The following is a 15,244-nucleotide window of genomic DNA, read 5'->3' on the forward strand; positions in this document are numbered from 1 at the left end:
TTAATCACTAGTCTGGCTGCCTCAATAGCAAGTATGAAAGGAGTTATGGGGGAGCCAAACTATCTCCAAAGTAGCTCAAAGCTGCTCAAAGGCTGCAGTCTATCCCTCAGTGAACACTCTGGAATCTAAGTAAGTCCTATAATACCTCCTGGGAATGAGTACTATATAGATCTACTCATCTGAATATGAGCAGACAAGTCAGGAAATGTGGCCAATTGCATCCAACTGCCTGTACAATAAACATTTATTTTCCCTTGTTTTTTCCTGTCTTATGGTTTTGTTCCCTCTCTTCATAACCCTAAAGCTTCTGTATAGCCCTGTGATTTCTTTCTAGAATTACTTTCCTTTTACTTGTCCATTTCTGTCTTCCTCATCATCTCTGCTATCAATAGCTACCTAACACTAAAGCACCTAACACTGTAGTAATAAATGACCAAATCTAAAAAATTTACAGTCATGTGAAATGATATGTGAAATAAATGAGCTTAAAAACTATTTTTGTAATTAGCTGGGCATGGTGGTGCACACCTGTAGTCCCAGCTACTTGGGACGCTGAAGCAGGGGAATCGGTTGACCTTGGGAGGTGGAGGTTGCAGTGAGTGAGATCGCCCCACTGCACTACAGCCTGGCAACAGAGCGAGACTCCATCTCAAAAAAACAAAAACAAAAACAAAAAAAACCTGTTTTTGTGTTGTTATTGAATCAATGATATTGATGATGATGATGATAATGATAAAATAATATGTCCTAATACCTGTAAAGGTTAATTCTATTTCTCAACATTTCCATTTTCTTATGAACTACTTGCTTTTTGCCCCCTAATACATGTTAATTCTCACTTCCTAACAGCCTTTTTGCCATTCTTTTAATGTTACCACGACCTTAGAGCCTCTTGTATTCTCCAAATTCCTACAAAGTAGCATGCTTGGTTGCAATGACCTTAGACATCAAACTACCTATAAGCATTTTATGATCAACAGGCAGCTGTTCCAATAGGAAAAGTGCTTCAAGCCAACAAGATGGTTGATCCAGATAAGTCCTTGGAATTATTAGTGCCTTAATTTACAAATTAACTGCATGCTGTTAAAAGTAAGAGATATATTTTAAGATTACTCTTCAGCCATCTCAAGCTTGTCTGTAATGTCCCATATGAGAACTGATGCTTCTAGGTAATTGGAGATACTTTAGAGATCCTTTTTTTTTTTTCATTTCTTCTGGCCTTCCTTTTTATAAATCATTTGTGATCCTTTACCCTTCCTCCTTGACTGTCACTTCTAACTCTGCCTTGCTTTTTTTGTGGACACTGTCCCTTCATCTTCACCTTTCAATTACGACTTTATTTTTATTCCTTGGAATTTAGTTAAGAATTATTTTGCAATATGCCAGGGAAATATGAATAAGTATACAGATATGTAGGGCAGACACAGTGGCTCATGCTTGTAATCACAGGACTTTGAGAAGCCAAGGTGGGTGGATCACCTGAAGTCAGGAGTTCAAGACCAGCGTGGCCAACATGGTGAAACCCCATCTCTACTAAAAAATGCAAAATTAGCCAGGTGTGGTGGCGCATGCCTGTAATCCCAGCCACTCAGGAGGTTGAGGTGGGTGAGTCGCTTGAACCCGGGAGGCGGAGGTTGCAGTGAGTAGAGATCATGCCATTGCACGCCAGCCTGGGTGACAAGAGCAAGACTCCATCTCAAATTAAAAAAAAATACAGATATGTGAAATTTCCATTTCACAATGTTTGAAAAAGGTATGCACTCCTCATTAAACATTAAACATCAGCATCAGTACTGTTACCACAATTGTGAGTTTTTTCCACCCCATTTGTTTACAATAATAATACGGATAATTTCAGGAAATGAATTGTAGAAAATATTAACTCATTTCCATATATGAGCTTAATGTAGCTTTTTATGGATACGTACACTACGGTCCATGCCATGAGTCGCATAATAGATGAATCCAAGTTCAACCAAGACTTCCATTAAGAAAAAATTATCTAAAGGATAGATCCTACTAGAATACCACTTTTAAGAATTAAAAATATAGAACACACAGGGTTCATTTGTTCACTCTGCAACCATTTTACTTTATTACTTTATGGGAAAATTTAGATATGCAAAGCAATGCAGATACCAAAATATGCTTTCCAAGTGTTTTTGGCTGAGTTTGTCTCTTTCAGCAGTTCTGACCCTAAGATACATACTTATATGGAAAAAGCTATGGATAAAAATAAATAAAATACATCTTAATCATCAATATATAGACAAAATTGAATAGAAAAAAGTAAGAACATTATAAAGCATGAAAATTTACATAAAATTATTCCTGAATGTGAGGGTTGAAAGACTCTAGAGGCCTGAAATCTATTTGAAAGAGAAACTTTCAAGAAAAGGAAAAAAGCATTCCTCTACTTAGAATAGATATGCTATGATCTGATTCTGAAGCAATGGGATTGAACTGAATGATATATGAGGTTTCTTCCATGGCCCACTGATTTAGATGATAGCAGTAAAAAATATATTAGTGAAAATCATTTAATACTGTAAAAGAATAAACAGATCTGGACAGGAATTCCGTAAAAATACATGTAGACGTTAGTCTAAATACATTTTTAAGATACAATATATTTTGACTAAACTGACAGGATATCAACAGCTCATTCACTTGACAGTCATCTGTTATAAAGCCATTATTATATAACTTTAAAATATATTTACAGACTTAAAAATTAAGATAATGCTTTTATGTACATCAGATAAAAGTTTAATTAGAGTGTAGAGTGCCACTTCACAGGAATTAAGATAATCATGTTTTAAACAAAATATTTTGCCATGAAGATATAGATAAAATGTACAAACATGTCACATGATACAGAAAAACAAGAATCATGATCTTCACATTTACAGGAATTTAAAAAATCTTCTCTGATGGAAATGTGTTACAACTCAAACTTCTCTTCTTGAAAGTAATCCGCAAAATTGAGATATTCTTCAAGTTGACCATATTTCTGCATATACAATAGAAAAGCTAGTTATTTTACTCAAAGCAATGAAGACAAACTGGGCCTTTGCAAACTACAGACACAATTAGGATAAGTCCATTTCATGGTAATCGTGAACAAAAATCTTTTTATGATAAACAGGAACTTAATTTCAAATAAGCATTCCTAACTCATATATAACTCATATATTTCCATATAGAAAGCATTGGAAAGTGATCAAAGTGAATATTATTAATTTTATAACTGTGTTTTAAATTATAATTTTTATATTATCATGATTACAGTAGAAATGTAGTAACCTCAATAACTTAATAAAAAGTTTGTTGAACATATATATCAAAGGCTCTGCTAATGACTGTCTAGGTACAGTGTTTTTTAAAAGATACTTTTCCTGCCCCTAAGGAGAATACAGTTCAGTAGTAATACACCAATAACAATCAGTAATAAGTGCCAAAGAGGTACAGACACTGTTATGAGGGTTCAGAAGATAGGTCATGGTTAGTTGAGGTAAGCAGTAAAGAGTGGCATTTAAGTTGTCCTGGAAAAACAGATTTGGTAGGCAAAGAGTTGGTGGCAAGACTTTTCAGTAAGAGGGAACAGTCCATCAAAGTGACGTGACAAGAAAATATGGGATTTGACTACAACCTGAGTATTTTTAGGAGAACAGAGAGAGCTAAGACTGAACCAAAGAGGCTGAGTTCAGAGAACAAAAATTATAAAATACTGGTTAAAGAATTGAACAATCATTTGACAGGTAATGGAAAGTTGCTAAAGGTTTTGGAGCAGGGGACTGAACTGATCTCAGGTGTATTTTAAGAAAATCGGTAAAACATTCATTCTAGAATAGTTCAGCAACTAGTTATGGGTCTGTGATAACAATTTAGGTCATGAGGGCCCAAATCTGAGTCATGGCAATGAAGATGAAGAGTAAAGAACAAAGTGTAACAAGTTAAGAGAGGGGTCAAGAATGATTTAGAGATTTCAAAGTTGACAGAGTAGAATAATGGCAGGCTCTTTTGCAGGTTGTTTGTGCGAGGGAAAGATATCATGATTTCAGTTTCAGACATATAGAGTTCAAAGTATTTATTTCAGTGAGGGGATTAATGACATACTAGTTTCTTGACTCTGTTTATGAACTGTGTTTTAATCTTCAGTGAAATGAGAGAGGATCCTGGTGACCCTGACTTTTGTGGTGATAGGGACCTACAGAAGGGAATGTTGAGAAGTGCATTTTCCTTCTACACCTTGAAGGCCATGAAACTCTTTTTTATAACCGTATGATATCTGACTGGATCTCCTTCTCAGGAAAGATGGAAACACATAACAGAAGGGGAAATAGCCTAGGGACTACTTAGGAATTTTCTTTGGCCTAGTACTTAGATAGGTTTTATTAGATATAAGTAAAGTACTCTAGGATTAGAAACCTATACTTTAAAAGTTTGACTTTTTATGTTTCTCATATTACCTTTCCTCATATTCCTTTATTATTTATTAAATTTCTTTTGGAAAATTAAAAATTAAAAAAATTATTTTAAGAGACAGGGTCTCACTATCTTGCTCAGGCTGGCCTTGAACTCCTGGGCTCAGGCGATTCTACCACCTCAGCCTCCCAAGTAGCTGTGACTACAGCTGTGCACCACCACACACAGCTAGGACAATTAAAATCTATCTCAGCTATACTAAGATAGGAGGTTACTTGCTTTTATTGCAAGTAACAGCTAAGATTAATCAATCACTTACTAATTGCTAGGTCCTATACTAAATGCTTAAAACGTATTACATATCTAATCTCCACAATCAAAACCCTAATTATTATTACTGTTTTTGTTCCTACTTTACAGATGAGAAAACTTAGGCTAAGAGAAATAAAATAGCTTGCTCCCAAATTCTACTGCTAGTAAGTGGCAAAGCAAATACTTAAGCTTATACTTTTAACCAGTTTAGAGTATGCTGTTTCTGAGATTTAAATGGTGTGGCTAGGATGCAGCTTTGGCAAGAAAAAAAAAACTTGGAAAGTGAAACTCACAGACATTGCAGTTAGTATTACTCTGCCATCCTCTCTACCTAAAGATACTGCTCTCATAATTCTTTACTAAACATTTGGAGGGTTTTAATAGTGAAGACTACTTATTTTAATAGTGAAGACTACTCTCTTACAACACCTGATGGACCTACTGATGAAAACAGTTGGAATTGTGGAAATGAAGTGTGGGAAAGAGGTCAGAATATAAGAGAAGTTTGGAATCTTCTACTCAGAAGTAGTAGCTACAACTGCAGAAGGGAATTGATTCGCCAAGGCAACTTTGAGAGGATGAGGACAGAATTCAGTGTTAACGGGTACTTTTTAGCAGTGATCCTCAAACTTTTATCTATTTAAGAATCATCAATGCTAAAAATATTGGATGTTTAACATCCACAAGGATTGTCATTCAATAAATCTGGGATGAGGCTAGGGGATTATACACTTTTCAAAAACTTCTAGGTGATTCTGATATAGGTAGTTTAGGGCCATGCTTTGAGAAACATCAGTTTAAGGGGTGGGGAAAAAAGGGGCAAGGGAAAAAGTTGAAAAGGAGGGGAAAAAGAAGAGAAGCGTTTAAGGAAGGCAAGGGATATCTAATTATAATTTTAAATTATTATGTATATGACAATATTTATCAGTGCATTTAAAATTTACATACAACTGTCACTTGTAACAGTTTTACACACAGTATTTACAGTATGAATGGGCATCTGATACTTCTATTGACATGCTTTCTTTACTACCTGGTGTTTATGCATCCACCAGCCAATCCCAACAATACTATCTTCAACTTCCCAGGAAGTCCCATCATCATATACACTTTCTTCTTAATGAACAAATATTCGTTAGAATTTTGCCAGTGTCATATTAGAGTATGTTATTGAACTCTTCTTTAGAATAAGACATGCATTATTATGTTTATTAAATATTTTGGTTTTATTATAATTTTCCTATTATCTATTCTTTTCTTATACTCAAGTTGCTCCTACACCCCTTTAGTATCATTACATTAAAAACGGATCACCCTAGTTCAACCTTTAGAAGGAAGAACAAAAAGAATGAAGTCAGTCTAGTTGGCATGTCTTTGGGAAGACATGCTGAGACATCCTGAGATAATTAAAGTAAAATGGCTGAAGAAGCAGGTAAGGGAAAAAGTAAGGTGTGGAATACAAGCTGGAGGCAGAAAGACAGGAACAAATAGTACGTGTAAGGCAACAAAAGGGGTTGACATAAATGGGAAATATGAGCGGAAAGTGCCATGGAGACGGCATTCAAGTAACACTGAGCCCCAGGCATTCTAAAGGGTTAGAGTAACTGTGACTACCAGACTGTAGCTAAAGGCAGCACACATCACAAAGTACATGCAGTGCTATCACTCAAAGGCACACAGTGAGAGGGACAGACAGAGTGAGGATGGGAAATGTCAGAGCACGTGACAAATTTTGAAATTTCATTACAGCACAAAAAGCTGCAAATGGGTTTATATTGGCTATAAACCTCTGTGGTTTCTAGGAAATCTTTTGAGAAAACCTAGGAACAAATTTTTTAAGTGGAGAAATCTCAAAAAAATGAAGGTCTTTGGTATTTTCATGGGGAAAAAAATGTGTATACTGTCCTAGACATGCACAATCTTGAAATACCTTCAATGCCTAATGCTAAATGTTATTCTTTATGTATAACATGACACTTGGCTTTCTTGAAAAGAAAGCCTAAGCTCCTTTCTTTTCCTAAGAAAAGAATGCCAAGTGTTATGCATAAAGAATAACGTCTTTAAAATTCCAGGTCCCTTCTGGTGTCCTAAACCTTGTTAAGCTTTTTCTAGGATACATGATTTGGAAATGCTTTTTTCTTCAAGAAGTTTAAAGTTCTTCCCCATATATGATACTATTATATAACATATACAGTATATGCACAGTGATTTTTCTATACCTAGTATCTAATTCTTTATAACTGTGCTATCCCAATAGGTTTTGCAGTTCCACTAGAGGGTTGGCAACACTTAAAGGCATCAATAAAAGCACTTAAGAATTTAATGTTGTCTAGGAAAATGAAGACGGGAAGTTATTGAATAAGTGCTCTCTCCTAAAGCAAATGAAAAAGTACGGATAAGCAGGGAGAAGCATTTGGAGTAGGAGAAGTAGAAGCAAAGTAAAAGACAAAAAGCTGAAAAGAATAAAATGAGAGAAAGACTTAAGGATCAAGATGTGGGGGGCAGGCAAGATCACTGGGTGGTGGTTTGTGGTGGGAGAAAAATTGTCAAAGGGAAACCAGTGATGATGTCATTATCTAGACTGGGAGACCTCCACTAAATATGACATGTGCTAAAAAAGTTTCTGTTTTGTTTTCTTTCCATCTGCCTAAGCTCTCTTGCCTTATTTTTTATATTCCTCTTTTACAAATTTCCCTATGATATAGTCCAGGCAATGGATCTCAAGTTAGGCTTTTTTCTTTTCTTTAAAAGATTAAATGTTGATAAGAGTTGCCTGAAAATCTACTATTTGTTCTCTCTTATACATTCATGTAACTAGACTTGTTTTAGAAGACTGCAGTCGTATTAGCATTCTTTCCATATACCATAAACAATTCTAAAAGCTCTGTGAGCAGACCAGAGCTTGTAAGCTGCCAGCAGATCTTCGGGAATCCAGTGCACTCTTCAAAACCCCCACTTTACTCCTGTTATCAAATTTAGTGATCAATAGGATATGGGGGAATCAAAATCAGTGCTGTGGTCTGAAACCTCTGCATTCCCCTCGATCTTCAGTTACAGTGCTCACTGCTCAGTCCCATGTCCTCAAGAAGAGGATGTGGGTGTATTAGAACTGGCAGCCGAGATCCTTTCCTCAGACTGGCACCAGGTGCTTCTTCACTCTCAGGTCACAAGAACTGTTCTAAAGAATAGGAAGCAGACAAGCAGAGGTGAGTCCTATACTCTGTCAAAAAAAAAAAAAAAAATCAGGGGACTTAATATATATGTAAGCAATACATACATAAAAGCGAAAGGACAGAGGTCCTTCAATAAAGGACAGTGTTAATGCTTATTAAAATTTATCTGATGGGCTGAGTGAATCCTTAGAACATCAGGGCATCTATTCAGAAGGACAATGATAAGCATGAAAGGAATGAGCGGAAGAAGAGAAAATACAAACGACAGAAGAAAGAGATTCTCTTAAATTTCACTATCTTTTAATCATTTGTTTCCTTTTGCTGATCATAATTAGCCTTCAGAATCTACATGATAAGATTCTCATATATTCACCTTACCTCCTTAATCCAGCCATTTTCTTTTGACCGCCTGAAAATTCTTTCCACTGTTTCTTTAACTTGTTCATCTTCAACTTCTTCTGTCATTGCAATGGTGCAACATTCCTGGTATAGTTTGAATTTAAAATGTTTCAGTTTATGATAAATTCTGGTACGGCTGGCACAAATTCTGCCAACAGTGAACACCTAAATCAAGAAATAAAGATTGTTATCTGACAACGAATATATATCCTTTCTGGTTTTTGGATTTTCTTTAGTAGTAGAATCAAAATGCATTATTAACTTCCAGTGTTTACACAATGATTCCTTTACCTTCTCTTACTTATACAACTAGTCAAACACTGAGCACCTGTGAGGTTTCAAACATTGGGCTAGGCACTAGAGATATATAAATAAAATACCTATTACCGGTATTAGGGAGCTTACAGTTTTGAGAGAAAGACAAATGGTTACAAAACAACATGAAAAATGGTATGTCCAAGATGCTATGTCCAAAATGCTAGTGAAGAGGGGCACTTAGCCCAATCCAGATAGAACAAAAGTCCCCAAGCAAATCAAGCTTGAACTAAGTCTTGAAAACACAAGAGTTTGCCAAGTTCGGGGGAAAAAAGAGAAATGGCTTTAATGAAAGGCAGAAGGATGGGCAAAGTAAAAAAAAAAAAAAAAAAAAAAAGCATGAAAAGTATGATAAGTCCATATTTATGAAGTTAAAAATGACTGGATTATAATATTTTTCTAGCTATAAGCAACATGTAAAACTGAAACAAACTCTTACACCAAAATTAAGTATTGGCAGTTTTTTACTAGATACTTTTCTTTTCCCCCCCCAAAAAAAATGATCTAAAGTAAAAAAATAAATCTGTGTTTAGGCATACTGATTGCTTTACTTAAGGTGTTATATGTGAATAAGACATTAATATTTTGCTGTCAGCCAGCTATAAGAATTTTAATTCCTACGTTTATATGGACTTCTATAATTCTATGATTAAGAACTCTTTTTATGAAATCAAATAACCAGAACCTTTCTCTTTCAGAATGTTTTGAATGTTTAAAATTTGTTATACAAAACTACAGCTAAAATAGGAAGACAGTCTGACTGCACTGACCAAATTATTTATATATATTTAATATATATTAATATATATTAAATATAGATATTTAAAATATTTACATATTAAAATATTTATTTAAATATATATATATATATTTTTTTTGTTTTTTTTTTCCTGAGATGGAGTTTCGCTTTTTCACCCAGGCTGGAGTGCAGTGGTGCAAGCTTGGCTCACTGCAACCTCTACATTCCGGTTTCCCTGCCTCAGCCTCCCAAGTAGCTGGGATTACAGGTGCCTGTCACCACACGCAGCTAATTTTTTTTTTTTGTATTTTTAGTAGAGACGGGATTTCACCATGTTGGCCATGGTCTCGAACTCCTGACCTCGTGATCTGCCCACCTCGGCCTCCCAAAGTGCTGGGATTATAGGTGTGAGCCACCACGCCCAGCCAATATATTTTTACCTACATCATTTTACCCACTGTAGAAAATGCATCAGAAAGGGCTCCAAACATTATGATATGGTCAATCTTACTCTCATGGAGTAGTAACCTAAGGAAAGAGTAAACTTCCTGCTGACTTAAGTATTTGTGTCTGTACCTAAGTTCACTAATGGGTTATGCTTTCATGAGTACTAGTTTTAATATTTATCTATGCAACTTGTGTTCTGTCTGACAGAAAAATACACTTGTTTCCTGAGGCCACACTGCAAGGAAACATACAAGTGATGATAGACAAAGCAGGAGTATGTTTCCAAAAATGAATAGAAGTTATATCACAATGATTGGCAACAATCAGGTTTGATGTGTTTTCTTGTGAAAACTGTATTTTGGACATTTTGCAACCCTTCTTCAAATCTCCAAAAGTTTAAGAAAAGCATGTTCAGATTTTTGTTCATGGCTCCGTAAAAACCTTCCTGCTTTTCAGATCATTAGAAGTAAACAGGTATTATTGTACATGGCTTATTAAAATTAACTTTTCCAATTCAACCTTATCATCAAAGCAGTCCTGGTAGTAATGACATTTCAGCAATTCACTTGCTAATACTTCCAACTTTGTGTAAAAAGACAACACAAAAGTTGCCGTGACTATAAGGGTACCCTGTGTGTCTCCATTTCTGCCATCAAAGTAGACTGTGTGGGAGAACTCAGCTATAGCTGTTCTACATGAAGTATAGGCATACGATAAAGTGATTTGTATTTCTTTCACATTTATTCTGTATTTCCACAAAACAAGAGGAATTTATCTGTATAGCATTTTTAAGTTGAAACAAGAGGGAAGGAGAGGTGTTTAAAAATCCTAATTTTTTTTCCTGTATGAAAAACAAGTATCCTTTGAAAATATTTAACATTATGGTTTACTTCTTTCCATTTCTAATTCCTACCCCTCTTGGCATCTACTTATCATCATATAGATCTATAAATCAAAAATTACCTTAAAATGTTCTTGTATTTTTTCCCAAAATATGATCACATTTTATATGGAAGAACCTATATGGAAGGGCATCACTGCTGTAAAATTTCACAGAAAACAGTAGATGCAAAGGATAGGTGTAATACTCCAAGTGAACTTAACCCCTCACTCATTCCTGTTTTTAGTGTATTGTTACAGCCCATTGTATTTCTTTATCATATGAATTGAAGTATACAGTACAATACAGCTTACACTGTAGGAATCAATTTGTATAAAATACTAAAACAGGTAACATTAATCTCTGGTGTTAGAATGATTTCTTTAAATGTCCAGAAAAATATATTTAGAACAACTGTAATTATCTAGTTCAATTTCTGTACATTAAGGAAACTATTCTAACAAGAAAATTAGTATAAAAAATACCAGAGAAAAATAGGTGCTGTGGTGAGTGTTCACAAAGCAAATAAAGAAGATGACACATAAATGATGACTGGCCCACTATGCACGGTTAAGCACAGTTATCTGACCTGATAAATATGAGACTGAGTCAGTTCAGTTATCAGTATGAACCAAGTGATCGCACATATGTAAAAATTGGAAATGGAGCTAAAAATTGTCACTGAATTTTGCTAAAGCAGAAGAAAGAATCTCATTTCTAATTTAACAGCTATATCACATGGAGTGTAAATTAAATCTAGATAACAAACTGAGGCAAGGAAATATAATGAAACATGTACCAGGCAGACTTGGTAATATTTAGCTAACTGTAGGTAGCTTTTTGAAGTATTTCTCTAAGCTCTTATTTATAGGCAGAGGAGCCAGCTCCTTATGGAAGTTAAAGTATGAAGAACAAAGAAAAAGGATTCTCAAGGAAACAGTAAGTCTGGGGAAAAGTTTGTTTTCTGTTTCTGGGTCTTCAGAAACAGATAGTACAATACCAATCCAAAGGGTTCTATTTGCCCTTGTTTGGTTTTTTGTTTGTTTTTTGTACAGACATATTATACAATGCCATTTGCCTCAAAAATTATTGCTTCTTCCCACCAAATCCTAAGCATCTTAAGGAGTCTGGATAGACTCTGGGCAAAACTAAACATATATCCAAGATTGTTTTTAGTTCTCCCAAACTACCTTTCAGATTTCACAACTCTCTTTCATCCAGGTAATTTCCTTCTCATCTATGTCCTTAAACTTTATCACAATCTGGTGGTCCAAGGCCTCTCGTCTCAGTACCCTATCAATACTGCTGTAACCAAAATTACTCTTCCCCCACTGATTCCACTTTCCATCAAGGCATCCTTTCTTTCAAAGAAGCTAAAGAAAGGAGAAAAGTTTTCTTATGAAACAAATTTGCTGTTAAGTGAATTCCTTAAAAGTATTATTTGCACCCTCAAAAAGAACCCTAGTTAATGTCTCAATTTTATGTAACTGCAAGCAGCAACACAAAATAAAGAATTAGTCTTCAAAATAACTTGAAGATGGGTGTGGGGTTAAGCACAATTTCTTTTTCTTTTCTTTTTTTTTTTTTTGAGATGGAGTCTCGCTGTCGCCCAGGCTGGAGTGCAGTGGCGCGATCTCGGATCACTGCAGGCTCTGCCCGCCGGGGTTCACGCCATTCTCCTGCCTCGAGTAGCTGGGACTACAGGTGCCCGCCACCTCTCTCGGCTAATTTTTTGTATTTTTAGTAGAGACGGGGTTTCACGTGTTAGCCAGGATGGTCTCGATCTCCTGACCTCGTGATCCGCCTGCCTCGGCCTCCCAAAGTGCTGGGATTACAGGCGTGAGCCACCGTGCCCGGCCAAGCACAATCTTTTTAATGCTCTGGATCATAACTAGGTTTATTTTCTCTCCCTTTCTTTCCTTCTTTACATATATGCATTTACATTGTATTGAAGTAGGATGTAAGATAAATTTTTGTAAGTCATTCTTCACTTTAAAGAAAAAATTACTGAAAAAACAATTTCTCTTTAAAAAATTTAATCACACTCTCTTAACATACCCAATAACTAACTTAACGTTTACATATAGTTATATACGCATACACACATTTTTATATAGATGCCTAGACAGTGCAAATACTAATTGTTATCATACTTTCAAACTAGCATTATTTTTCAACTTCATGATTATACCATTTGCTCTTTACTGAACTGCTTTGCAAAAGATAAACTTATAGACATTGAGTATGTATATAGCTTTGTGACTCTAGCTCTAAAAATCTAGTATTTTTAAAAGATACGTATCACCCCTTTTTTCCTCTAGGAATCTTACTTTCCATGAACTTACTAGTTTCAGTGCAACCTTGATAGCATTGCATTTTATCATTTGATTTGAGAATACTTTGCCACTTTAAGAATTACCAACTGGCATCTTAAGGTAGTTTTAATTATATACCCTTACATGCAGAATAAGCATTTTCCCATATATTTGTTAACTTTTATAGTTTTCTCTTACGTGACTGGCAATATTGATGTTCTTTGCTTTTAGTTCATGCTTTCAGTTTATTGTTTTTTTAAATATTTGAATAACTATTTTATATAGAATCTTTACTGCTTCACAGGAATGTCAGAGCTCTAGAAGTGATTTTCTTACTCCACTTTCCTCTTCAGAATTAGCTATAGACAGCAAAGACCATGAAGGTACAGCAATGTATTTGATATACATAACAGAACATGGTCCCTAATGTACGAAATCACTTTTGCTAGGATTCCAGATATCTTATGTCATAAAAAGTCATAGATCAGTTTTTAAACAATGGGGAAATTTGCATATGACTATTAAATATACATATATATTCATATTTTTATAGTAACATATCAAACAAAACATTACAGACCAATTCTGAATTCATTATCCCCATAAAAACCTTCTAAGTCATTCTTGCAACCCAGATCTCTCAGAGGGATCTGGTCAACTACTGCTCGATAATACTGAGAAATCACTATCCAGTTTAATAGAAGAATTTAGATAAATATTATATTTCCATCTTAATAATTGACTGGGAGGATTCAGAGACAACTTTGGGTCTCTACCTCTCTAAATATACACCTCCTCCATGGATATGTAGACTTACCAGAAAAAGCGCTCAGTATTTCTTGCATTTATAAATATAATTTTCACATTTGTAAATGCAGCAATCTTATAAAGTAAGATTGAAAAAATAAATAGAAGTTGTCAGCATCTGTGCTTTTTATCATTTCACATTATACTGCTATGCTCTTGTCTAAAAAACACTTACTCTTCAGTTTTTTCTATTCATACAGAATTAATAGCATCTTAACTATGTGGTGATTGCTCTAGACTCTGACATACTTCTAACAGAGTCTAGTTGAAGCACAGTGTTTTTTGAATTCTCTCCTATTAGATGAACAGCTATCTTCCATTATTTACTTGTGGGTTGCCAATTTGGTGGATTATATGCTAAAAATGTTTCCACTTGGGTCAAATTTTCCTTAGGATACTTAGGATTATTTATGAAATAAAAATTTCTAAATACTGAAAATTAAGATTAGAGGGAAGAAAATACCTGTTTATCATGTGACATGAAATTATCTATTTGCATGGTCCTGGTGTTATACAACTCTCCTGATAAATGCACTGAATATTTACAGTAGCGATGCAGTCCACAAGCCTGGCAGGAACAGTTTTCAGGATTCTTCAAATGAATACTTACATTAGAATAATTTTCTACTCGCTCCTGAAAACAAAAAATATAAAAAAAAGTTTAAAAGATAAAGAATAAAAATAAAAGTAAGAATCTAACCAATTAAAACATCTTAGGGATTACAATACAAAGAGATATAAGAGCAAAACACCCTGGCATTTCTTACTTTAATACTGAGCACATAGTAGGTATTTTACAAGATATGTTTAAATAAAAAAATTTATAATCTTGGCTATTGCATGAAAATAAACCAGACTAGGAAAAAGCTAGTTTCATATCTCTTACACTTCTGCGGTTGCTACTTCTTTTCCATTTCTCATCTCTAGTTAGTGTTAATGAGGTATTAGTTAAAAATAGGAGCAGCAAAAATGTAGGATGATATAAGAAAAATAATTCCAAGTAGGCTAGTTAAAACTTGAGAAAAAAAATCACATTCACTTTCCATTATATGAATTATATATTTGCCACAAAAATATTCCAGAAATAATTCAATCCTCCTATGATAACTTACTACAGTCCTGGGGAAAAAACAAGTTGGCACTAGGACTGCCACGTGTCTGGTATTCATATGGACAGTTTAATAGCTCAGTTATCAATGAGTAAACAAACTGAGAAAACACTTGGCATTCATAAATAAGCTTCATTATTAAGCTATGAAGTTACTTGTGCCTGAGTATTTCTGCTTATGTTCTAGGCCTGTGCTAGATACTACTATTCTAATTGGTAGTGTAGATTAGGTTTTAATACAATATTTGAACTGCACACAGTGAGCATATTAGCATGGTTACTAAACCACATTCATATCTTCTACCAGACGGATGGTAATTA

General features: G+C 34.7%; 1 protein-coding gene across 17 annotated transcripts in view; it reads right to left on the minus strand.

Annotated features, from left to right (window-relative positions):
- Positions 1 to 2,071: 2,071 nt before the first annotated feature.
- Positions 2,072 to 15,244, minus strand: part of CCDC82 (coiled-coil domain containing 82) — a 37,140-nt gene continuing 23,967 nt past the window's right edge. For 13 of the 17 annotated variants that reach the window (NM_001437542.1, XM_011542988.4, NM_024725.4 and 10 more), the window contains 3 exons: positions 14,279 to 14,449; positions 8,292 to 8,477; positions 2,072 to 3,013 (listed from right to left, as the gene is read on the minus strand). In NM_001437542.1, coding sequence (NP_001424471.1) covers positions 2,945 to 3,013; positions 8,292 to 8,477; positions 14,279 to 14,449 — 426 coding nt within the window. In that variant the 3' untranslated portion in view covers positions 2,072 to 2,944. Of the gene's footprint in view, positions 7,919 to 8,291; positions 8,478 to 14,278; positions 14,450 to 15,244 lie in introns of all 17 variants that reach the window. The other 4 variants (XM_017018310.2, XM_024448693.2, XM_047427606.1 and 1 more) reach the window with 1 other exon arrangement.

This window comes from Homo sapiens, chromosome 11 (genome assembly GCF_000001405.40).
Source record: "Homo sapiens chromosome 11, GRCh38.p14 Primary Assembly".
NCBI classification, from domain to species: domain Eukaryota; kingdom Metazoa; phylum Chordata; class Mammalia; order Primates; family Hominidae; genus Homo; species Homo sapiens.